Source organism: Homo sapiens, chromosome 11 (assembly GCF_000001405.40).
Source record: "Homo sapiens chromosome 11, GRCh38.p14 Primary Assembly".
NCBI lineage: Eukaryota > Metazoa > Chordata > Mammalia > Primates > Hominidae > Homo > Homo sapiens.
This window is the reverse complement of record NC_000011.10, coordinates 83071675-83097196: the sequence shown is the minus strand read 5'-3', so window position 1 is coordinate 83097196 and position 25522 is coordinate 83071675. Positions and strand designations below refer to the sequence as shown.

At 40.4% G+C, this 25522-nt stretch overlaps 1 protein-coding gene and 2 long non-coding RNA genes across 4 annotated transcripts in view, besides 1 other annotated feature; 2 read left to right on the top strand and 1 right to left on the bottom strand.

Annotated features, from left to right (window-relative positions):
• LINC02951 (long intergenic non-protein coding RNA 2951) lies at positions 1-24795 on the top strand. The gene is made up of 3 exons (NR_186233.1): positions 1-62; positions 1050-1128; positions 24501-24795. It is a non-coding gene; the product is annotated as a long intergenic non-protein coding RNA 2951 (long non-coding RNA).
• On the bottom strand, positions 23485-25131 carry RAB30-DT (RAB30 divergent transcript). The gene is made up of 3 exons (NR_038903.1): positions 25051-25131; positions 24393-24574; positions 23485-23894 (listed from the first exon to the last, which is right to left on the bottom strand). It is a non-coding gene; the product is annotated as an RAB30 divergent transcript (long non-coding RNA).
• Positions 24858-25347: an enhancer, noted in NCBI's record as "active region_5345". NCBI's record gives its function as "activates an Ori minimal core promoter by ATAC-STARR-seq in GM12878 lymphoblastoid cells {active_cell/tissue: GM12878}" and the evidence as "EXISTENCE:reporter gene assay evidence [ECO:0000049][PMID:35858748]".
• RAB30 (RAB30, member RAS oncogene family) overlaps positions 25300-25522 on the top strand; it is a 98765-nt gene continuing 98542 nt past the window's right edge. For both annotated transcript variants that reach the window (NM_001286060.2, NM_014488.5), the window contains exon 1: positions 25300-25506. The gene's annotated coding sequence lies outside the window, so the exon portion shown is untranslated. The remainder of the gene's footprint in view (positions 25507-25522) is intronic.

The window sequence follows — 25522 nt, the reverse complement described above, 5'->3', positions numbered from 1 at the left end:
AGATGAAGGAAGAATGAGAGCACGAAGAATGGAAAGGAAAGTTTTATGGGCCAGGGCTGGAGGTAGTATTGATCATTTCTTTCCATATTTCAATGGCTAGAACACAGTAATGTGGCTGCACCTAACTGCAAAGGAGGCCAGGAAATATAGTCCTGTGTGCTAAGGAGGGAAAGGAAAATGCTTTGGTAAACTGCTTAGCCTCTAGTCACTGGTATATTGAGGATTAAATAAACGCTTGTAAAGAGTTTAGCTCAGCATCTCTATGCACATAGTGAGGGGTCAATATGACCATGATACACTCTTCTTCTCAGTGAAGTAGGTATAGCATTAATCATTCTCACTTTGGAGATGGGAAACAGGCTCCAATAGGTCGTTACTTTCCCAAAATTGCATGGTTAGCAAATAGCAGAGCTGGGATTAAATCTAAGTCAATTTTCTTAAAAAGTAGAATGTATTTTGTGTGTGTGTGATTTTTTAAAAATAAAATTTTAAAGGCCAGGTGCGGTGGCTCACGCCTGTAATCCCAGCACTTTGGGAGGCCAAGGTGGGTGGATCACGAGGTCAGGAGATTGAGACCATCCTGGCTAACACGGTGAAACCCCGTCTCTACTAAAAATACAAAAAAAAAAAAATAGCCGGGTGTGGTGGTGGGCGCCTGTAGTCCCAGCTACTTGGGAGGCTGAGGCAGGAGAATGGAGTGAACCTGGGAGGCGGAGCTTGCAGTGAGCTGAGATAGCGCCACTGCACTCCAACCTGGGGGACAGAGCGAGACTCCATCTCAAAAAAATAAAATAAAATTTTAAAATCTTTTTTTTCTCTTTTTCTTACTTTTGTGGAGGTGCATATCTTGGTAGAATGTTTCTTGAAGGCACTTGACAAATGTAGATTCTGCCTTTGTATGGACAGGCCATACTCTCAAAGGTTCAGATATACTTAGCTCTTCTGATTTCCTGGAATATCATGTTGTACCTTTCTCATGTCACTCATAAGTGAATCTGGGCCAAGCATTGCTAAAAATTGGATTGTTTATTCCCACTTTATGGCCACAGGTCTTGTTGCTGAGACTACTGATCTCCAAAGTGGAATGTGCTCACTCTAGAGGTATACAAGATAATTCACTGAAGTGTGGTAAGAATTTTCATAGCTTCTACTTAGGTTTATCATGAGAAAATTAAGCCCTATTCATCCATATGGATTGAGGTTGGCATCCCCACATTGTTTCTATATTTGACGCTCACATCAGATGAGATACAAATGGAGTTTCTTTCTTTGAGCATTAGTGACATATTGTGGTTCAAAAGGGGATTTATGGATTTTTAAAATCTAACTTTAACAAAATGAAATATTACAAAGTGAATAATTGGTTTTAAAAAATTGCTGGGAAAAAGAAAACCCTGTGAATTGAAGATGATACATAGGATCCCCCACTCTCAAATGGCAGAACTGACACTTTTACTTAGTATGATCCCTTCATCAGTCACATTATGAAGTTAAATACAATGATTAACAAAATCTGACCAGCTGACTCAAAACATCCAAAACTATTAAAAAATCTATTTGAAATACAGTATTAATTTGTATCCACTTAATAACAAGATACAGAAACCTAAGTATATATTTTCCCTGAGATAAAAGTTTATTCATTTTCATTGTATTCCTTCAAACTTTTTGTTTACATTTCATAATGTATATTTTATATTAGCCCAATAGTGGATGTGTATAACTTATAAAGTAATATACATATATTGGGGGTATATGCTCAAATTAAGTGTACTTAATTTGAGATTATTGATTTAGACAAACAACTCTACCTTTCTCCAGTTGAGAGTTCTAGCCTGTGAACATAGCAGTGATTAGTACCTAATGATCATGCAGTTAAGAATTGGTTGCTATTATTACTATTAGGTTTGGTTCTAAAGCCCAAAAAGGTACAGATGATTCGGATGCAGACATATCATTTATATAGAACCCCCACCATTTTGCCTCAAGTAAACAACATAATCTGTCTCTCTGGAGACAGTTTCTTTGTTTGCAGCTATAAAATTTGCTGCAGTTGTAATGCTGGATCTAAGAGGCTGTCATATTGACTTGAGGAATTCCAGAAAGGCCTCCCTGTAACCCTTTTCTTCTAGTGTGACTTAGGGAAACCCAGAAAGAACTCCCTTAACTCCTCCACCAGCAAAGGCTTCCTTCCTCATTCTCACCTGAAGCCCCATTATTAGCATTTATTCCTGTGAAGGGGACTACCTTCACTTCATGCCCAGAGTTCACCTATTCCATTCTGTTCTCCCAAGCACCTAGTGTAAAACTCAACGACAGCACTTTGACTGTAGGTACAGTCCTTCCTCCATAACTGTGGGGAGTTGGTTCCAGGACTCTCCTCTTTTTTTTTTTTTTTTTGAGACAGTCTCTGGCTCTGTTGCCCAGGCTGGAGTAGAGTGGTGCTATCATAGCTGACTGTAACCTCAAACTCTTTCCCCTTGAAATCTGCAGATGTTCAAGTCCCTTATATAAAATGGCATAACAGCCTGGGCACCACAGTGAGACCCCATCTCTACAAAAAAAATTAAAAATTAAAAATTAGCTGGATGTGATGGCACATGCCTGTAGTCTCAGCTACTTGGGAGGCTGAAGCAGGAAGATCACTCAAGTTCAGGAAAGAGTTCGAGGTTACAGTCAGCTATGATAGCACCACTCTACTCCAGCCTGGGCAACAGAGCAAGAGACTGTCTCAAAAAAAAAAAAAAAAAAAGGTATAATATTTGCATATAACATATGACATCCTCTTGTATACTTTATTATTATTATTACTTTTGAGACAGGGTCTTACTCTGTCACCCAGGCTGGAGTGCAGTGGCGTGATTACAGCTTACTGCAGCCTCGATCTCTGAGGCTCAAGTGATTCTCCCACCTCACTCTCCCGAGTAGCTGGGACCACAGGCATGCACCAACACATCTGGCTAATTTTTGTATTTTTTGTAGAGACAGGGTTTCATCTTGTTGCTCAGGCTGGTCTCAAACTCCTGGGCTCAAGGGATCCACCCACCTTGGCCTCCCAAAAAGCTGGGATTACAGGCATAAGCCACTGTGTCCAGACTCTCTTGTATACTTTAAACCATCTCTACATTACTTATAATACCTAATACAATGTAAAAGCTATGTAAGTAGTTGTTATACTATATTTTAAAATTTGTATTTTTTAGTTGTTTTATTATTTGTTTTTTCCCCAATATTTTAAATCCATTTTTGGTTGAATCCATGGATGCAGAACGTGAGGCTAGATGGGCCAGCTGTACTTGTTTATGTGTCTGCCTGCCTGCTGAATACCATGCTTCCGTGGGGATAAATGCTACCTTATTCATAGGCTTCAGAATTAGACAGTGCTGACTATATGATCTTAGGCATGTTGCTAATCCTCTCTTGGCCCATGATCTCATCTATAATATAGGAAAATACTTCATAGAGCTGTTGTGAGCATAAAATGAGACAATATTTTTTAAAAAGTTTGGCTCATTTTAGGTGTTCAACAAAAATTATTGCTATTTTCTCCATCCATCTACCCAACACAATAATAAATGCCTTTTGAATGCCTGTTAAGTGAAAACATGATGAATCAATTTATTTTGTTTAAGTGCTGAGATCGTCTTATAAAATAGAAGTTTTCAATGAATAATGACTATTGGATAGGAAAGTATTTGAAGGAAAAATTTAAAAAATGAATAATGACTAATGTTTCAAGAGTGTTTACTACATCTCAGGTACTGTGGTATACATTTTTGTTTAATCCTCACGACAACCATATGAAGTAGGTACTCTATAACTAAAATCCCCATTTCACGAACAAGAAAACTGAGGTCTAGTAATTTATCTACAGCTGAGTGGTGAAGTCAAGATTAGATTTCAGTTCTATCTGACTCTAGGACCCATATACTTAACTGTTGTTGTATTGCAGAATACTTAAGGTTTAAATACTCAGTTTTCAGCCCTGCTTAGGGCTGGCTCTGTGTTTTATTGCCAAACTCAAAACAAGCTGTATATATTTGGATTAGAGCAAACATTGCCTAGGGCTTTCACAAACACCTCATGGAGACCATCCTGTTCCCTCCCCCACAAGACTGTGCCTTCGGAAAAGCAATGTGCTTAGTAGCACCAGGAATCAGATCCTTTGAAGTATACAGCCCATGAAATCAACCTGCCTGGACTTTGGCCCATCTGCCAGCTCTGAGTCAGCTGGCAGGAAAAAGGGCCAGAGGCTCAGATGTAATCAGTTCCTAAACAGGCCCAACTACACCACCTCCACCTTCTTCAGCCTCTCTTATCCTTCCAACCTGATTTCACCACAAGAAACCTGTTTGTGAGGGAGGGCACCACATCTCTCAGAAGTGGTCCAGTGTTTCCCCATTAATGCCTCCCTCATTAACTCCCTGCCATGGACAGCCATACTTAGATCATAAACAACAGAAAATATTAATGCTAATTAATTCTGGAGGCACTGGCAGTCTGTTGGAATAGAGTGCAGACTTTGGAGTCAAATCAGCCAGGTTTCAAAGTCCCAGCTTTCCAATAGTGCTGGGCAAATTGTATAATCTCTAAATTTCAGTTTTCTTATTGACAAATTAGGGAACAAGAATACTACCAGTATTTTAAGGAGTTGTTATAAAGATTAAATGAGAAATATGAATGATGTGCATGTAATGCCCTTGGAACAGTGCCTTTGCTCATAGTAAGCATTCAAATGTTAGCTACAAATGGTGTGGCTTGTGGCAAGTGAACAATGGAGATTCTATCACTCTCCATCCAGAAAGTTTATGTAAAAATTTAAGAGCCCCTGGTGTATAGTAAGTACTCAAAACATTAATCCATTTGATCAACGAACTCCGTTTCCCACTTTAATAATAATAGTAAACAACTGGAGTTTCTAACATCACAAACCTAGGTGAGAGTCAGTTTTGCAGTCATGTATAAAAGGGAAACCAGTATTGAAGATTAGGCAAGCATCCAAATAGCTGTTCTGGCTAGACTATATTAGGCCTAAAGATTCTATAGCAAGGTAGGCTGGGCGTGGTGGCTCACACCTGTAATCCCAGCACCTTGGGAGGCCGAGGTGGGCAGATCACGAGGTCAGGAGATCAAGACCATCCTGGCTAACATGGGAAAACCCCGTCTCTACTAAAAATACAAAAAAAAAAAAAAAATTAGCTGGGCGTGGTGGTGGGCACCTGTAATCCCAGCTACTCGGGCGGTTGAGGCAGGAGAATGGCATGAACCCAGGAGGCGGAGCTTGCAGTAAGCGGAGCTTGCGCCACTGCACTCCAGCCTGGGCGACAGAGCTAGACTCCGTCTAAAAAAAAAAAAGATTCTATAGCAAGGTAAGGACCAGGTGGATACTTAGACAACTTTGTAATTTACACAGCACTTAGTTTTCCTTTCACCAATGTGACCTTCACAACTTTATGGGGTAGTTCTCATATCATATTTGGAATTTTTAAAGAATACTTGTTTTACATGTCATTCTCCTCCACTAAAAGACAAGAAAATTTTTTTCCTCATCTTCTTCTATCCAGATAAAATTTCACATACAAGGGCAATGGTCTAGCAGAGTTTAAAGTGAGTTTTTTTTCTTTTTCTTCTTCTTGAGACAGAGTCTCACTCTATTGCCCAGGCTGGAGTGCAGTGGTGTGATCTTGATCCACTGCAACCTTGGCTCACTGCAACCTCTGCCTCCCAGGTTCAAGTGATTCTCATGCTTCAGCCTCCCGAGCAGCTGGAATTACAGGTGTGTGCCACCATGCCAGGCTAATTTTTGTATTTTTAGTAGAGACGGGGTTTGTCGTGTTGGCCAGGCTGGTCTCCAACTCCTGACCTCAGGTGATCCACCTGCCTCGGCCTCCCAAAGTGCTGGGATTACAGGCCTGAGCAACCACGCTTGGCCTCAAAGTGAGTTCTGAATGGGGAGAGGTACAAAAAGAAATAGGAATCATTCCACCTAGAAAGCCAGACATATGCTACCCATGAGATAATTTATCTGTAAAATCGCATAATTTGTACTTCAAAAGACTAAAAAAGATAAAGTATATAATGCTGCTGATCTTTTGGTTGTAGTACATATTAATGAACCTAAAAGCAAATTGGATGGAATTTCCACTCATAAAAAGGAAGACTGAACATGACCATTTGTTAATGGTCAAGAGGCATGGTGTGATTTTCTCAAGTCTATAAAGGACCAATAAAGCATGGCAGAACCATATAGCACTATAAATTAATGGAACTATGCTTTTAGTCTACCTGGATACCCAGAGATGTTTCCAGGGCTGAGTTCTTGGGTCATGTGAATGGATTACAGAGGGGCTGCAAACAGTTTAAAATCATGGGTTTTACACAAATATAGATGTGGGAATGGTTAGAGTGAGGGGAGGGACTTGGCTGTTTCCTTTTGTGTGTGGCAGGGGAGGGAGGTAACATCCTGGATGTAGCCATAGCTTTTATAAAATTTTTATAAGTCCATGGATCCAAAACATTAAGAAACACTACTATATGCATGATAAAAATCCCTACTTATTCAATAAACATTCACCAAACACTTACTACATAGAGACATTATGCTGTCTTTGTCCTCATAATGGAGGATAACATGCAAAACAAAAATTCTGAATAATTCCAGTGATTTATGGCATGAAGTCATTTTTTTCTTCTTGCTATCAATACAAGCAGACTCCCTTTGTGATGTCTTTCTACCTGCTTATCTCAATGATCTAAAGAAGATCCATGTTATAAAGTGTCTAACACATAGTAGATCCTCAAATGTTAGTTCCTTGCCTTTCACTTATCAATTTAAAGCCACATTTATCTTCTCCCCTTCTTCCTCTCTCTAGTGTTTCTTTTAATTTTTATTGAAATGAGATCCTGCTGTAGGAATATGTTATCCAGAGTCAGAGCAGGAGGCATGGTGTGATTTTACCATATCTATGCACCTATAAAGTACAGCAGCAGTACAAAAGCCCTTAAATAACGTAGGTTAAATATCAAACGTTTTGACATATAAAAGGTACTGAATGAATAGTGGCTAATAAAAATAAACAACAAAAAAATCAAATCAGAAGAACAGCAGCTGCAGACTCAAAGGAAGTATGAATAGAAAAAACACTGGTAAGTTTTCACAGGTTTCATAGTCATGAAATATGAAAACTACAAGGAAGTTTAGAGTATATAAGTCATTCTATACATGAGAAGACTGAGGGTCATACAGCTCTATCCACTTGAAGCCAATTCAGATCAGGCTTAACTTTGCTATGCAGCTTCTGACATCAAACTACATGAAATCTGAAGAGATCATAATGCTTGCTAGAATTCGGTTATTAATATCCCAAATGTGTCTCTCTAGTTAAAACTAGAGGACAAAACCTTAGGGGAAAAAAACTAACACATACACACAAGGGTTTTGCTTCTAGCTGGAGAACTCTGAAATGGACCTTGGTATATACTCAGTCCAACCTTACTATTTTACAGATTATGAAATTGAGGCCCAGAAAGGCGTAGTGACTTTTTTTTTTTTTCTTTAGATGCAGTTTTTGCATTTGTCGCCCAGGCTGGAGTGCAATGGCACCATCTCAGCTCACTGCGACCTCTGCCTCTTGGTTTCGAGCAATTCTCCTGCCTCAGCCTCCCGAGTAGCCGGGATTACAGGCACCCACCACCATGCCTGGCTACTTTTTTTTTATTTTTAGTAGAGACGGGGTTTCACCTCAGGTGATCCACCTGCCTCAGCCTTCCAAAGTGTTGGGATTACAGCCATGAGCCACTGCGCCCAGCTGGGGAAGCGACTTTTGAAGAGTAAATTACTTATTCTGTATAAGTTCAGTACAGAATCCCAGGTCTGTAGCTCCCAATTAAGATAGATCATTTTTTACATGAAGGTCACCCCTCTACAGGACTCATCTCTTTGGTGCCCTCTATCTTTGAGAATCTAGGTCTCTTATATTACTCAGAACACACTACCCATATCTATCCTTCCATGCGCATTGTTCCATCTCAGGCCCTAATCTCCTCCTTAAGCCTTCAATCCCATCCTCTATCTAATCAAACACACACACCCTTTACCTTTTCTGAGTCCTAATTCTTTTTCTTTCATTTTTTGAGACAAGATCTCGCTATGTGCTCAGTCTAGTCTTGAACTCCTGAGCTCAGGCCTCAGCCTCCTGGGTAGCTGGGACTACTGGCTTATGCCACAATGCCAGGTGGAGTCCTAATTCTCTTCAACAGTTTAAACTACAAGCTAAGGTACTAATGATCAATAATGGTATAATTTAGCATTTCCTTGCTTATATTTCTACAAGGCTATTTGAAATGGCACTGTCTTAACCCAAAAAGGCATACTTTTTGAATAAGGAATAACTATATGAAACATTTAAAGTGTTTTTTTGTTTTTGTTTTTAGACAGAGTGTCACTCTGTAGCCCACTCACAGGGTGGAGTGCAGTGGTGTGATCTCAGCTGATTGCAATCGCCACCTCCCGGGTTCAAGCAATTCTCCTGCCTCAGCCTCCCTAGTAGCTGGGACTACTGGTGCACTCCAGGCGCACTGGCCCAAACGTTACTTTTTGAAAAATAACCATTTTTAATCACAAAAATTATAAATGAGACAGCTCAAGAGGATTTTTTTTGAGGTGATAGAATTGTTTAGTATCTCAATTATGGCGGTGGTTATATGATTCTTTGCATTTGTCAAAACTCATAGAATTGTATACCAAAATATGTAAATTTAAAAATTAACAATACTTTTTTAAAGAGGAAGAAAGTAATTGCATAGTCTACTGATGCCCCTTAGTTTTCCTGCCCAGAGGCAATCACAATGCAATACTGGTCTTCTAAAGAATCAGCTGGGTGTGGTGGCTCACACCTGTAATCCCAGCGCTTTGGGAAGCCAAGCCAGGAAGACTGCTGGAGCTCAGGAGTTTGAGACCAGCCTGGACAACATGGCAAAACCCTGTCTCTACAAAAACTTAGCCAGGCATGGTGGTACCCATCTGTAGTCCCAACTACTCAGGAGGCTGAGGTGGGAGGATCACTTCAGCCTGGGAGGCAGGGGCTGCAGTGAGCCAAGATTGCACCACTGCACTCCAGCCTGGGTGACAGAGCCAGGCCCTGTCTCAAAAAGAAAAGAATTCTTTTTAACAGGAGAAAAAGCACAGAAAATTATTTTTTTATTGATACATACATAATAGATGTATATAATTTAGGGTACATGCGACAATTTTATACATTTATGTAATTTGTAAAGATCAAATCAGTGTACTAAGAATGACATTGTAATGCTAGAAATGTAGTCACTGAGGCAGACTTATTGGACAGATGTTTTTGGAAATGACGACTTTTTAGTCCTTGTAAGCTGATAAATCCACTATTCTATTCAAGGTAAGGTTGGCACTTATTGGGGCAAATGAAAATGAGAAAATTAGGGAGTAAGGTCTGGAGAAGATAAGTGAGAATTAACACTGACACTAAAATTTTAACATTCAGGGACTAGAGCCAAAACAATAAATACATTTAAAAACAAAGATTGCATAAGAACAAAAATGTGATTGTTTTCAAAGGTTACAGATTTTATTCCAAGGCTGTGCTGAAAAAACATCCTGCTTGGTAGCCTACCTGGAATCAAATATTCTCTCCCCTTCCTACTAATATTACTCATATGTCTAATTCAGTTTCTATACAGTTCTTAGTGTTTTTTCAGTTATATGTCATTCATGCCAACATATCCATTTTACCCATTTAATTGATACTGAATGATTACTAAATGTAAAATTAATAGTTCTGGTATTTTATTGCCATTACAATATTTATATTATTCTACTGTAGCTTTTTTGGCTTGCAGATCTATTTTCCACCTCTCCCCGCCAAAACTGTCAGACTCATATTGGCATATCTGTGTTTATTTATCTTGGAATCCCTAGAACCTACCTTGTATATTATCTGACACCTAGTGGATACCGAATGAATATTTACTGAAGAAACAAGAGCCCTGTTTTAAGCAGAAGGAAATGTGAATACAAATATGGTTGAGCTCCTGCTTTTAAAAGAACTTACAACTTGCTGGTCATGTACAGTCAATATAATTAGTAGGCCACATGCATAGGTGGGTAAATAGAGGACAGAGGGTAGAGAAAGACTGAATGTAGTCCGATTACATGAAACAACTTATCTTAACATTCTATTACAAACATTAGTGCTAGGGTATGTAACAGGAGACCCTTTACTGTCCTTTCATAGACCTGTGCTGATGATAGAAAACCTTACTGGGTGACAGGAAAATAGATTGGATAGATATAGCATATCTAAAAATGTTCTAATTGTATTTTATTTTTAAAGAAACTGAGGATGAAACAGCCATTGACAAGACTGCATATTCTTGGAATCTGTTATCATAAAGAATAAGGTCCTAAAGGAAAACAATTTATTTCACTAAAAAACAAGTCTGACTGGGCGCGGTGGCCAGCACTTTGGGCCGAGGTGGGCGGATCACTTGAGGCCAGGAGTTCAAGACCAGCCTGGCCAACATGGGGAAACCCTGTCTGCACCAAAAATACAAAATTAGCTGGGTGTGGTGGCGCAGTGCGTAGTCCTGGCTACTCCAGAGGCTGAGGCAGGAGAATGACTTGAACCTGGGAGGCAGAGGTTGCAGTGAGCCGAGATCGCACCACTGTACTCCAGCCTGAGCAACAGAGCAAACTCCATCTCAAACAAACAAACAAACAAACAGAAGAAAATCCCCTAGTCTTTCTGGAGATATTTCATAGGCTTCTTTCAGAAGATAAACTTAAGTGTTAACAGTAATGGCTTTATGGTCATAGCATTTACTACACGATGACATAAAGCTCAACCATCAATACATAATGTTTTATTCTCCAATACTATGGTCCTCTCCTGATCCTTTCACACACTAGTTCTGATGTACTGAGAATTGAGGACTCCAATTCAGTTTCCTGTTGAGGCGAGGTAGGATTTCATCAAGAAATGTTTTATTTCCTTGATTGTCTGAAACAGTGCACTTTGCTAGTGCAAAATCTGTCACAAAAGAATTGGATAAGTGGGAGGGGGGTGTAAATTGTTAAAGGACTAAGCAATCCATCAGAGTTTTATAATTTAACAACTTACTTATCCATTAAGCAATTATTTCATGCCTACTGCTTATGTGCCAAGCAGAAGAAAACAGCATATTACCTACTGGTAACAATAACAAGTGGCTGCCAAGGCAGCTTAGTGGTTTATGAGCCAGTCATTTTGCAGCATTGTGCTAAAAGGGAGGGAGAGTTAGAAGGTAAAATCAAGTCGCTTCTTACATGTTATCATCAGCTTTTGGGGAGTATCGTGAATTTTATTTTTTATTTTTAGTTGAGAGACAAGGTCTTGCTCTGTAGCCCAAGTTGGAGTGCAGTGGCATGATCATGGCTCACTGCAGCCTCAACCTCTTGGGCTCAAGCGATCCTCTCACCTTAGCCTCCCCAGTAGCTAGGACTACCAGCACGTGCCACCACAACCAGCTAATTTTTAAATTTATTGTCGAGATAAGGTCTCCCTATGTTGTCCAAGCTGGTCACAAGCTCCTGGGCTTAAGCAATCCTCCTGCCTTGGCTTCTCAAAGTGCTAGGATTACAGGCATGAAAATGTTCATTCATTTGTTCTGTTGTGTACCAAGTGTAGTGGATATAGTCAAGCTTGGATATTAAAACCTATATATTCAGGTATTAATAAAGGAGCTAGATCCTCCCCCAACCTCATCCCTGATGAAACAAATGAAAATTTAGTAATTTTGAAAAAGTATCTTAGTCTTCACCATGAGAAAAATGAGATCTTCCTTAAATTCACCTTATAGTGTAAATATTTTGATTTTAAATTATATAGGTTAAGGCATCAAATTTTTCACTGCTTAGGTGTCTACAGATTTCAGTCAGGCTTTGGATACAACAGTGAAGAAGACAAGCTCCTATTAAAAAATTTTAACCAGGGTTCTTAATTAGGAGTTTATAGATTAATTAAAGGGGTCCATTACATCTCTCTTTTATTTTGAGACAGGGTCGGGCTCTGTTGCCCAGGCTGGAGTGCAGTGGCGTGATCTCAGCTCACAGCAATCTTTGCCTCCCTGGTTCAAGTGATTCTTCTGCCTCAGCCTTGTGAGTAGCTGGGACTACAGCAGGCCACCATGCCAGGCTAATTTTTTTTTTTATTTTTAGTAGAGACAGGGCTTCATCATGTTGGCCAGGCTGGTCTCGAACTCGTGGGCTCAAATGATCTGCCCACTTTGGCCTCCCAAAGTGCTAGGATTACAGGCATGAGCCACCATGCCTGGCATCTACTTTCAATAACTTCTAATAAAATGTAAACATAGCCAGTCAATCACAGTAGTTAGCAGTAAATGTGACTGTCACAATTAAACTGATTATTTCCATATCACATTACAATTGTTGCAGATAAGTTGAAATATTTATGCTCACCACGCTACTGTGTTGAAATTATAGTAAGGCCACTGCTAGATCTTATTCATTAATAAACCACATATATTTCTATATCAAATTTTTTTGGTAACTATTTCAATATTCTTGGATCCTTTTGTAATTCAATGTACTGTACTTTATATGTTTAAAGGCTTTTTTAAAAAAAAGCGGTCCATAGACTTCACTAGATTGACAAAGAGGTCCATGACACTAAAAGTTAAGAGTAAAATGGTTTAGACGGCCATAGCCATCTGTACCTCTAGGGGCCTTATACTTCATATTTACTCAACACATACTTCCAGAATGAAATAATTTAAAGTTGGTTGAAATTGTGCCCCCCAAATATTAATACTTTGGTTGTCTACAATAGAGTACTGTAGAGTTGCTTCTTATTCAAAAGCTTCCTTTTTTTTTTTTTTGAGACAGTCTTGCTCTGTCACCAGGCTGGAGTACAGTGGCGCGATCTTGGCTCACTGTACTGCAACCTCCGCCTCCTGGGTTCAAGTGATTCCCCTGCCTCAGCCTCCCGAGTAGCTGGGACTACAAGCGCATGCCAGCATGCCTGGCTAAGTTTTTGTATTTTAGTAGAGATGGAGTTTCAGCATGTTGGCCAGGATGGTCTCGATCTCCTGATCTCGTGATCCGCCTGCCTCGGCCTCCCAAAGTGCTGGGATTACAGGTGTGAGCCACCACACCTGGCCATTCAAAAACTTTTCTAAAAAAATCAAATACTTTAGATCAAGTTTTTTCCACCTTGCGGCCCAGGACAGCTTTGAATGCAGCCCAACACAAATTCATAAACTTTGCTAAAACATTGCTTTTGTGATTCTTTTTAAAAACTCATCAGCTATCATTAGTGTTAGTGTATTTTATGTGTGGCCCAAGATAATTCTTCCAATGTGGCCCAAGGAAGCCAGAAGATTGGCTGCCCCTGATTTACATGAAACATAGAATGGATCATAGTTTATCTCCCCAAAAGAACTTTATTATACGTCTTTCTAGATAAGCAATACTTGCTCATGTGGCTGGACTATATTCTTTACTTAATATCATTTTAAAATATATTTTTTGAGACAGGGTCTAACTCTGACACCAAGGCTGGAATGCAGTGGTGTGATCTTGGCGTACTCCAACCTCCACCTCCTAGGCTCAAGCGATCCTCCCACTTCAGACTTCCCAGTAGCCAGGACCACAGGCACACACCACGATGCCTCTACTTTTTTTTTTTTTTTTTTTTTTGGTAGAGACAGGGTTTCGCCATGTTGCCCAGGCTGATCTCGAACTCCTGAGCTCAAGCAATCCACTCACCTCAGCCTCCCAGTGTTGGGATTACAGGCGTGAGGTGCCACACCTGGCTCCCCAAAATATATATTTTTAAGAGACAGGCTCTTACAATGTTGCCCAGGCTGGTCTCGAACTCCTGGGCTCAGGCAACCCTCCCAAAGTGTTGGCATTATAGGCGTGAGCCACCACACCTGGCCTCTTTGTTGAGTAACTATGTACATGCAAACATTAAAAATTTTGGCAGGCCGGGCGCGGTGGCTCACGAGGTCAGGAGATCAATACTATCCCGTCTAACACAGTGAAAACCCGTCTCCAGTAAAAATACAAAAAATTAGCCGGGCGTGGTGGCAGGCGCCTGTAGTCCCAGCTACTCCGGAGGCTGAGGCAGGAGAATGGCGAGAGCCCGGGAGGCGGAGCATGCAGCATGCACCCCGTCTCTACTAAAAAAAAAAATACAAAAAATTAGCAGGGTGTGGTGGCACATGCCTGTAATCCCAGCTACTCAGGAGGCTGAGGCAGGAGAACGGCGTGAACCCGGGAGGCGGAGCTTGCAGTGAGCCGAGATCGAGCCACTGCACTCCAGCCTGGGGGACACAGCGAGACTCTGTCTCAAAAAAACAAAACATTGAAAAAAAAATTTTTGTTATCTCTGTCTTGGAATTGCAGCAAGAATAAGGGGTACTGGAGCACAATTTAAATAACAGTGATTTAGGAACTATTTACCTTGGTGCTTTCAAATAAAATTAGGAATTGGATTAGGTGGAAAAATAAACTAGTAGCTTATTAAAAATGCAGATTTTAAAAATCATACATTGTGATGGTTAATACTAAGTGTCAACTTGATTGAAGGATGCAAAATACTGATCCTGGGTTTGTCTGTAAGGGTGTTGCCAAATGAGATTAACATTTGAGTTAGTGGGCTGGGGAAGGCCCACCCACTCTCAATCTGGTGGGCACAGTCTAATCAGCTACCAGCATAGGTAGAATATAAGCACGCAGAAAAACGTGAAGAGGAGAGACTGGCCTAGCCTCCCAGCTTCCATCCTTCTCCCACGCTGGATGCTTCCTGCCCTCAGACACTGGACCCCCAAGTTCTTCAGTTTTCAGACTCAGACTCTGGCTCTCTCTTTTCCTCAAGCTTGCAGCCAGCCTACTGTGGGACCTTGTGATCGTGTAAGTTCTCAATAAACTTAATAAATATATGTGTGTATATATATGTATCTCCTATTAGTTCTGTCCCTCCAGGGAACCCTAATACATACATTGTATAGAAAAAAATGCAGATTCCTAGAACTAACCCTCAGATTTTTAAGCAGTATATTCTGGTTGGGAAACCAGAATCTGCATTTAGCATATATCCCAGGAGATTCTGATGTTGGAAGTTTGCAGACCATGCTATGGAACTAATATTACAGAAAACCTTGTATTTGGTGCTCTGTTAAATGTTACCTCCTTTTAAAGATATGGAAGGCTTCAAAACCTAAATTTGCCAAAGTAGACATAGTTGCTAACTATCAGAGCAAGAATTCAGAACCCACAACTGACTCTAAAGCAATTCTTAGCTATGCCTTTGGACTTCTTACAGTTCTAACACTCTTTAACTGGGCCACAGTGCTTGTACTTACTTCAGGTATTTGCAGATCAAATCTTGAAAATGGTTAGATTGGCTGGGTGCGGTGGCTCACGCCTGTAATCCCAGCACTTTGGGGGGCCGAGGCGGGCAGACCACAAGGTCAGGAGTTCGAGACCAGCCTGGCCAACACAGTGAAACCCCGTCTCTGCTACTCGGGAGGGTGGGGTGGGGGAACTGCCTGAATCCAGGAGGCGGAGGTTGCAGTGAGCTGAGACCGAGCCATTGCACTCCAGCCTGGGTGACAGAGTGAGACTGTTTCTAAATAAATAAATAAATAGAAAATGGTTATATTACTCAGATAATACTTACTTTATCTCAATTTTTAAACTGTCAGTGATAGAAGTAGACAGTTGAAGTTTATATACACATATGCAATATTTGGTATATATAGTATCATTTACTAAGACAGGTATTTTGGTAAAGTTAAAACTGAGGGGATATTGCTTTATAACACCTAAGGTACAGAAAATCATACTTCTCATGATAAAGAGTGGCTTTTTTATAGATGTATTTTCAGTGAATCCTAGTTAAAAAAAATTTTTTTAGCCTCAAATAAAGTGATCTCACATGATAGTACTTAATATATCCATTTAATTCTTATAGCAACCTAGCGAGGAAGATTTTATCCCTACTTCACAGACAAAACTGAGGCAGAGTTAAATAACTTGCTTATAGTCAACAGTGATTGGCCGAAGTGTCATTTTAATCCTAGCTGACTGGCTCTGAAGTCTACATTCTAAGTTGCTACACCATATTACCTTTTGGGTACTTATTAAGCATTTTTCATATATTTCCTTAATTTTTATTTAATCTCAGAATGATGAACATGCTTAAAATCATGTAATGTGTTTAGATTCAAACGCAAGATTTTTGTTGCTAAACCCGAACTCTTAATGACTAACAACTTCCCATGATCATGGAGTAACGACCTTAGGTGGCTTTATTAATCATAATGCATAGTATAAATACCGTGTGATAGGCTGTATTTCTATTTTGACTTTAACTAGTACACAAATATTTTAATAGAATGTCCCTACCAGGGTTCTAAGATGAATGAATTACTTTCCAGTTATCTGTAAATTGTTAAATGCATTTTAAGTGAACTCTGTCTACCACAGTACCAAGCTATTCTCTAAAAATTTAGTGTTATCTCAAACAAGGGACTATACATAGCTTTTGTGTTTCTACTTAGGTTTAGGCACGTTAAATGGACCTCTGTGAAGTTGCATCTCTTACCTGACTGAGCAGATATTAAGTTAAAATAAACATTAGGTTACAGGTGTGTCAAATAGCTCTCTAAATCTGGGTATAATATGGGCCCATGACAATAAACAATTACCATTAAACATTATTTTCATACCTCTCCCTCCCTCCAGCGATAGAAGATTGCTGGACCCAAAGTTTTAAATTCAGCAGGAACAAGCAGGCACTGGCTTGGACACAAAATTAGGTTTTAGCCTAAATTTTTGAGATTTGGGGAGTCACACTGGATGTATGGGACTCTGCACTTAAGTTCAAAATGTGTTAACTTGTGGCAGAGTAACAGAACTAGCAGGTCACATTTTGTTTTTTCTTTGAAATGCCTCGGGTTATTTCTTCTGGTGCACATCTTGAGAGCAAATTAAATCACATTTGGACATACCAGGTTACAGTGCCAGGCTCTAGTAATAAACAACTACTTTTGACTTTTATTATACTGAATCCCTACCTGTCTTGGTTACTCCCTTCTTTTTACTGAAACAGGGCCTTACTCTTACCCAGGCTGGAACACAATGGCACCACTGCAACCTACGACTCCTGGGCTCAAGTGATCCTCCTGCCTCAGCCTCCTGAGTAGCTAAGACTACAGGCACATGCCGCCATGCTCAGCTTTTTCTTTTTTTTTTTCCCTGAGATGGAGCCTCGTCCTGTTGCCCAGGATGGGGTACAGTGGCACGATCTCAGCTCACTGCCTCTGCCTCCTGGGTTTTAAGTGACTCTCCTGCCTCAGCCTCCTGAGTAGCTGGGATTACAAGCACCTGCCACCAAGCCCAGCTAATTTTTGCATTTTTAGTAGAGATGGGTTTTCACCATGTTGGCCAGGTTGGTCTTGAACTTCTGACCTCAAGTGATTCACCTGCCTCGGCCTCCCAAAGTGCTGGGGTTATTGGTGTGAGACACCATGCTTGTTCAACTGCTCCCTTTTTACTGACTTCTTTCCATTTATTCTGCCAGTTAAATTTCTCAAGACATAAAGCAGCTTATTTACTGAATTTGATTTATGTTACTGGGTAATGGAATGAGAAGGACTTCAGGTAATGGACATTAGTTCGTAACTCTCAAAATTCGGTTACTTTTTATGGAGGGCTTTGTTGCCTTAAGGTGTCAGTTTCTTTCCTTGTGCATTTTTCTGTATTGATACAATTAAACCATCTTCATGTAAGTAATCTAATCAACTCAATTATCTCAGATTTCTCTTCCTCCAGGTAATGTGTATGGATAAACATAGCTGGGCAACAACACAGACAAATCCTGTTCACATTTAACATTCTGGTTCAACTGAGCATCAGTTTTCTCTAACAGTGGTGGTGAGGATCCTAGTTAGGTTTGGCAAGGAAGTATTAATGATACAGGTGTGAAAAGCAAACACCATCTTTCAGAACCAAGTTAATTTCTCAAAAGAAGCAGAGACATTATCATTGCCATGTGTTTTTGGAATTAAGAATCATAAATATGCACTATTCTTGGGAGTACAAGTTTGGTTAAATAGGCAGCTATGAAAAACCTGGCAAACAGGAGCTATAGGAAAGAAAAATAATCAAACAAAAATCAATTATTATGTAGAAGAAAATTACAAAAGTACTTCAGAGCTCTTCTCCCTTCCTCCTGACTGGATTTCAGGGCAGGGCAGAATTTTGTGTCCTTGAATTCCTTTAAAAAGTTCAGACTGAGGTACAGTATGATTTTGGCCCTTAAGTAGGGAAATTTAAATATGCTTATGCCTCTTCTCCTATCTTAAATCCTTACAATCCTGCCCTCTCTAACCCATTATTTCTTGCCTTTTTCAGAGCCAAACTTCTTAAAAGTTTAAGTACCTACTTCTTTTCTCATTCCCATTTGTTCACTTGTCAAACCTCTGAAATCTGGCTTCTCCTCACTACTACATTAATTCAGTTTATCTGGAAAATGAGACAATCCAGCAACTCTTCACAGGGAAATACACGGCCAGTTGAAAAGTAACAAAATTTGCCCATAAATTGTCTCAAGAGCAGCAAGAAACAGAAGCAAAACAATTTTAGAAAGACACATAAACATGAATACTGAAAATGGAACAGTCATAGGACTGAAACTCAAGAAAGAGGCATAATGCCCAACATTAAAGATATGCAGAGTAAAGAGCTGAAATGGAGACTCTTGCATTTAGACTGCCAAATATAAAAACAAATAAATGTAAACAGTTTATCACCAAAATAACACTTTAAACTGTTGAGACTGCATAAATGTACCATACTACTGTTAGTATTCCATAGAAATAGCACATGACCAGTATGTCATTTAGATTACACATATGGAACATGCTAGTTAGCTGCAGTATTTTAATTGCAATGAAAGCACTCTGTAAGTATCTCTGCAATAGTATACTTTATACATTACCACTTAAAGGCAAAAACAAAATTCTTCAGTTATTTCAGGATATTTAAAAACTTAAGTTTTCCTATATAAAATACAAAACATTCACAAGGAAATGGCAGAATATGCTAATAATTGAGCCAAGAGAATACACACTGTGCAGTTTTACAGGGACAAGTACCAAGTAACTATAGAAGCTGTCACTTAATACCATATAAATGGCTAGAAGCCCCAGTATACGCCTGTAGTCCTAGTTACTTGAGTGGCTGAGGCAGGATTGCTCGAACCCAGGAGTCTGTGGCTGTCATTTGCTATGATCATGCTTGTGAATAGCCACTGCACTCCACATGGCTAGACCCCATCTCAAATAAATAAATAAATAAAATGGCTAAAAGTTTGGTCGGAGAGGGTAGGGAAGGAGGAAAGCTGTTTTATTTTGGCTCAGTCTTAAAAAAAATGTATCACTTAGGTACCTCAAGGATTACAGTTACTGAATTTTATCTTCTGGTGCTGGAGCAGCTCATCTCCAAGGTATTCAGTTTGATAAGCACCTATGTGTTATATTCATGAAATCAGGAGTTAGGTGTAAGAAAGTGACTTTGATGAACATTCCTTAAGTTTTAACCTTTAAGCAAGTTTATGTATAGGCAGCACCCTCAGATTCTACATCAAATAAGGCTTCATGAATACATGAATACTTCATGAATACATAACTGCATACAGCTGAACATCTCTGCATGTTTGAATTTCCTTAAGTGGCTATATTCATGAACATATTTACGCTCGGCAAGTTTATCTTCATATATTTATCCTTGCAAAGAAACATTTTCGGCTGGGCACGGTGGCTCACACCTGTAATCCCAGCACTTTGGGAGGCCGAGGCGGGTGGATCACGAGGTCAGGAGTTTGAGACCAGCCTGACCAACATGATGAAACCCGTCTCTAATAAAAATACAAAAATTAGCTGGGCATGGTGGCATGCGCCTGTAAATCCCAGCTAGTCAGGAGACTGAGGCAAGAGAAATCACTTGAACCCAGGAGCGGAGATTGCAGTGAGTCGAGACCGTACCACTGTACTCCAGCCTGGGCAACAGACTCCATCTCAAAAAAAAAAAAAAAAGTTTTCTAGTGCTCCCTTAATTATCCAAACCTGTAAAAAATTGAGAAATAAAGTTAACAGAGGACTCTCTTTTCCTGTTAATCATTACTATGGACATTTGGATTTCAAATCTTGACCTTGGGATATTTACTGCATTTATCTTCAGCAGCATATTAAGCAGCTAAAATTATGTAAATTTGTTTCAAACTCAAATTGGGTTACTAAGATTAAAAAGCACACTTTTTATTTTCCTGAGTATTGTTAACTAAAAGTAAAAATAAAAGTTTTCTCATTGTCCAGAATGAATTAAAGATTTTCCCTAGAGGACAGGCATAGTGGCTCACTCCTATAATCCCAGCACTTTGGGAGGCAGAGGCAGACGGATCACTTGAGGTCAAGAGTTCCAGACCAGCCTGGCCAACATGGTGAAACCCCGTCTCTACTAAACATACAAAAATTAGCCGGGTGTGGTAGTGCCTGCCTGTAGTCCCAGCTACTTGGGAGGCCGAGGCAGAAGAATTGCTTGAACCTGGGAGGCGGAGGTTACAGTGAGTAGAGATCGCGCCACTGCACTCCAGCCTGGGCGACAGAGCAAGGCTCTGTCTCAAAAAAAAAAAAAAAAAAAAAGTAATCTGTTAGATCTGTTAGCAAGATTATATGATTACATAATGGTACACTTGATGGGAATTAGGAACATACCGATATATTCCTGTATGAACTCAAGTCACTTAACCAGACCACTTCCTAAGCTGTAAAGAGGAAGCTTTGAATATTAAATGCTTATCTGAAACCATTTGGAAAAGCAAAGTTTATTAATACCACTCTGAAGTATCTGAAGCTCATACTCAATTATTTAAATTAGGAACTTAAGCTCCTCTATTAAAAGGAAAATGTGTATTTTCTTGTTGAAACATAAAATATAAAGCACATTTCATGTGTACTACTGTCTTAAAAATTGAGAGTCCAACATTAAAATTAAACAAGTATTGAACTGCATTATACAAGAAATCAAAATCATGACAAAAAAAATCCACTGTTTAAAGAGTAAAGAGAAACAGTGGTGAGCTTGCTGTATCATTAAAGACACTGAACAGGTAAGATAATTGGATTCTAATTCTGCCCTGCCTTTGCCATCAATGTACAGTGTGACCACTAGCAATTTTTAATTTCACTGTGTGCATGCCCATTTCCTTATCTGTAAAACATGGGCTGAGGAATTTGTAAGATTTCTCAGCTCTAAAAAGGGGTCTCTGTGACCTAAAAGATACTCTATTATAATATCATTTGTTCAAAGATCATAAATATTAACATCAATAACTTAAAAATTCAAGACTTAGGGCAAGAAAATTTTTATTTTCAGAAAATTCTAAACAATATATTGTCTCTGGATACTTCAGCTTTTAAGTTTCTGCATAACTATCATAATTTTACCACAGCGTTGAGCTCTTACTAGGTGTCTCTTAACATTAGACTTTCTTAATATTAGGCTAAACCCTCATTCTAAGAAATATACAGGTTAGTCAGGATATCATGGTTGGTCCCTTTTTTTTTTTTTTTTTTAAACGGGAGTTTTGCTGTTATTGCCCGGGCTAGAGTGCATTAGCACAATCTCGGATCACTGCAACCTCCGCCTTCCAGTTTCAAGCGATTCTCCTGCCTCAGCCTCCCAAGTCGCTGGGATTACAGGCACCCGCCACCACACTCAGTTAATTTTTTGTATGTTTAGTAGAGACGGGGTTTCACCATGTTGGTCAGGCTGGTCTTGAACTGCTGACCTCGTGATCCACCCACCTCGGCCCCAAAGTGCTGGGATTACAGGCGTGAGCCACCGTGCTTGGCCCGGTTGGTCCTCTTAAAGCTAAAACTGATCTCATCTCCTCTCACTCCCCTCTCCCTCCCACAATTGCCATGTGTAAACCGTTCACCAGGTAAATTCCTTATCTACACATTTTCAGAATTCATTCATGGGTATAATTAGCAATAAACCTAAAATCTTTCTCAAAGCTTTTGTTATTGTGTGACTTACTGCAAAAATACAAACACAGGATGTAGAGGACTACTCCACCCAACTCTTGTAGACTCACCTATAGTTTTAAAAACACAATACTTGGTTCTAACCCTGGAGATTTCAACAGGGATGGGAAGGTAACAGCCATATACTTTTAGAGCTGTATAGGTTATCCTGACACCTCTACTGAAAAAAACCCTTGCTCTAACAGCAATTGGCTTCATACTCTTAAATGAGCTACCTATAATTTTAATACAAATCCATGTCCTAATTCTCTTTATTATTTTTTTGAGATAGGGTCTTGCTGTTGCCCAGGCTGGAGTACAGTGGCTCAATCTCTGCTCACTGCCACCTCCACCTCCCCAGTTCAAGCGATTCTCCTGCCTCAGCCACCCTAGTAGCTGGTATTACAGGCGCACGCCACCACACCTGGCTAACTTTTCTATTTCTTGGAGATGGGGTTTCGCCATGTTGGCCAGGCTGGTCTTGAACTCCTGGCCCCAAGTGATGTGCCCATCTCGGCCTCCCAAAGTGCTAGGATTACAGGTGTCAGCCACTGTGCCTGGCCCTAATTCTTTTTTGAGAGATGAAAAGCTTTACCTCCTCTAGATATTCCTAATTCCACTTTAACAATATTTTCCTAAGTTGTGGTGTTTCTATGGGACACTGTTATTTTTTCAGAAGCTGGCCTCCCCAACTCCTCAAATATCAATTTTATAAATAAAATTTATAATGAGTGCAGGATTTTTTCATCTTTATGGTCAGATGTCCATTAGATACAAGGATAGAAAAACTTCAAACTACCCAAACACATGACAAATTATAGAAATCACTGTATTCTAGAGGTATCACTTCTCAAACACAAGCTTTCTTTCTTTTTTAAAAACAGACATAGTCTCACTGTTGTCCAGATTGGAGTACAGTGACACAATCATAGCTCACTGCAGCCTCAAACTAATGGGATCAAGTGATCCTCCTGCCTCAGCCTCCCAAGTAGCTAAGCCTACTGGCATGCACTACTATGCCCAGCTCACACAGAAGGTTTCTGAGTAATCTGTTGCTCTTTTTCCCTACAATTTGTCTTCCATATAACTCAAACTGACAAGGCTATGGCTTACATAAAGAAATATATTATAAATCAACAACACTCATGATAAGTTTACATAAGACATGAGAATACACCTGAATCACCAACCGGGAAAAATGATTGAAGAGCTTGAAATTAAGCCTAAGTGTAAGTCTCTGTTAAGCTTACAACATTACAATAGTTAAATCGAAGGTTAGAAAGAAAATGGTAGACATTGCTCCTTTTCCTGTACTTACCACCATTACTTAGAGAAGTTTCTGAATAACAACAACTTTGAGCCTTTTTCATTGTTGTATTCATGGATGACACCAACACATACTACTTCTGCTTAAAAATCAAACTCATTCATCTTGACTTGTTCCCAGAAACATGACACAGAAGATCATTTTTTGAAAAAGTATTTTTGTAATTACCATCTGCATACACCTGAGAGACTGTTTCTAACATGTTTTGGTCATTTTTAATCATTCTATCTGCCTTTCTTTGTTATAAGGATCTATTTTTAATTTTATTCACTCCTAACATAGAGGGGAAGTGCATACCTTCAATGACGCAAAGTAACTAGTTAATGTTGTTTCAGAATAATATGCAAAAGGGAAGGGAGGAAACAGCACAAAGTATATCATATTTTTACACATCAGACACCTTCAGGAAGAAAGGACATTTCTCATCTTAGTGTGACAGACTCTGAAAAAGAACACACAGCACTGTTTCAGTGACACAAGAAAAAAAGTACAGTTCATTTTGAGATACTGTGCAAAATCACTCAAAAGACAATTAACTTTGGTTTCAGTCACTTAGTTAAAAAAAAAATTTATCCATGACCGATGTTACTCTGGAATCTATTGCCAGACGTCAGAAGGCCTATCATCAATAATATCCCACCCCTCCCGCCTTTTCTGAGACACGGGCTTGCTGTCGCCCAGGCTGGAGCACAGTGGTAGGATCGAGGCTCACTGCAGCCTCAACATCCCGGGCTCAAGCGATCCTCCCACCTCAGCCTCTAGTGTAGCTGCAACTACAGGGGTACACCACCATGCCCAGCTAATTTTTTTGTTTAATGTTTTTGTAGAGACGGTACGGGGTCTCCGCATGTTGCCCAGGCTGGGGTTGAACTCCTAGAATCACGCTATCTCCCCGCGTCTGCCCCCAAAGTGCTGGGATTAAAGGCGTGAGCGACCGCACCTGGCCAATATCCCCTTTGAACATCTGCTTTCGCTGGTTGGTAAAAAAGTGTCATTTTAAATTTAGTGTTACTCCTTCAGGCTATTCCCTCTCTCTTCTTACTTGCAGGGCCAAAGCAACGTCTCTTTCCACCTTGGTCACCTTCCAACAACGATTTCTTCGGACGCCTTTGTTAATCATTCCTGTATGAAAAATCAGTGAATCTGAAGCTTTGGGGAGAGTGAAAGGGGGTTGGAAAACAAACGGCAAAACAAAAATGCATTTCGGAGGACTACCCCAACTCTGTGGGTGGAAGTGGGCTTCTCCGAATAAAGGCGAGGGTCGCCGCCTCGGGTCCTCGCACCTCAACAAAAGACACCAACTCTCTCAACTGTACTGTTAACAGATCTAAATGATACTCCAAGCCCAAAAGTAAACCGACTCTCTCAATCTCTTAGCTAAAAAATGGAGAAGGAAGCGTAGGGCCCCATGCAACCCCTTCAGGAGCTGAGACCGAGGCTCACTGGGCCTCTGGATGCCGCTTCCAGTCGGTCCCGCCCTACATCAGTCCCCAGCATGGCCTCCACCCTCTGGTTCCCAGGTTCGTGCCCGCGGCTATCCGACCAGATCGTCCTCCACCTCACCGTCCCCACTGAACCACCACTTGACTCCTGCGCACCCCTAAAACCTCTGCCCGGCTCCGCGGAATCGTCCCAGTACTCCTAACATGGCGGCCGAGTCCCCTTTGCTCCTTCACTCTGGGCGCGTCCCACTTGGAGCATTTTGGGCATTGTAGTTTCGGGGATTGCCTGGGTATCCCTTCAGGACGTAAGAAGACTACAGTTCCCAGAAAGCACCGCTCCCGAGCATGGCTATTGGGGACGTTTGGACAGAGGGATGATGTCATTGCAAAAGCCCCACTGCATTCATTGTGCTACGGTCTCTCCACCCCCTGCTGCTGCTGGGCTTGCGATTGCCGCTCGCTCCAGCTGAGCTAAGTGTAGCAGCAGCACCAGGGCAGGGACTGACTCCAGCCCTTGGACTCAGGACATCGCAGACCTTCCCTTGCGTGCGTGACTCATTCGCACATCCATTTCTGTTTATGCCTGGGGTGGGGAGAAAAATCCCAAACCAGGTGAGTTGAAGTGATT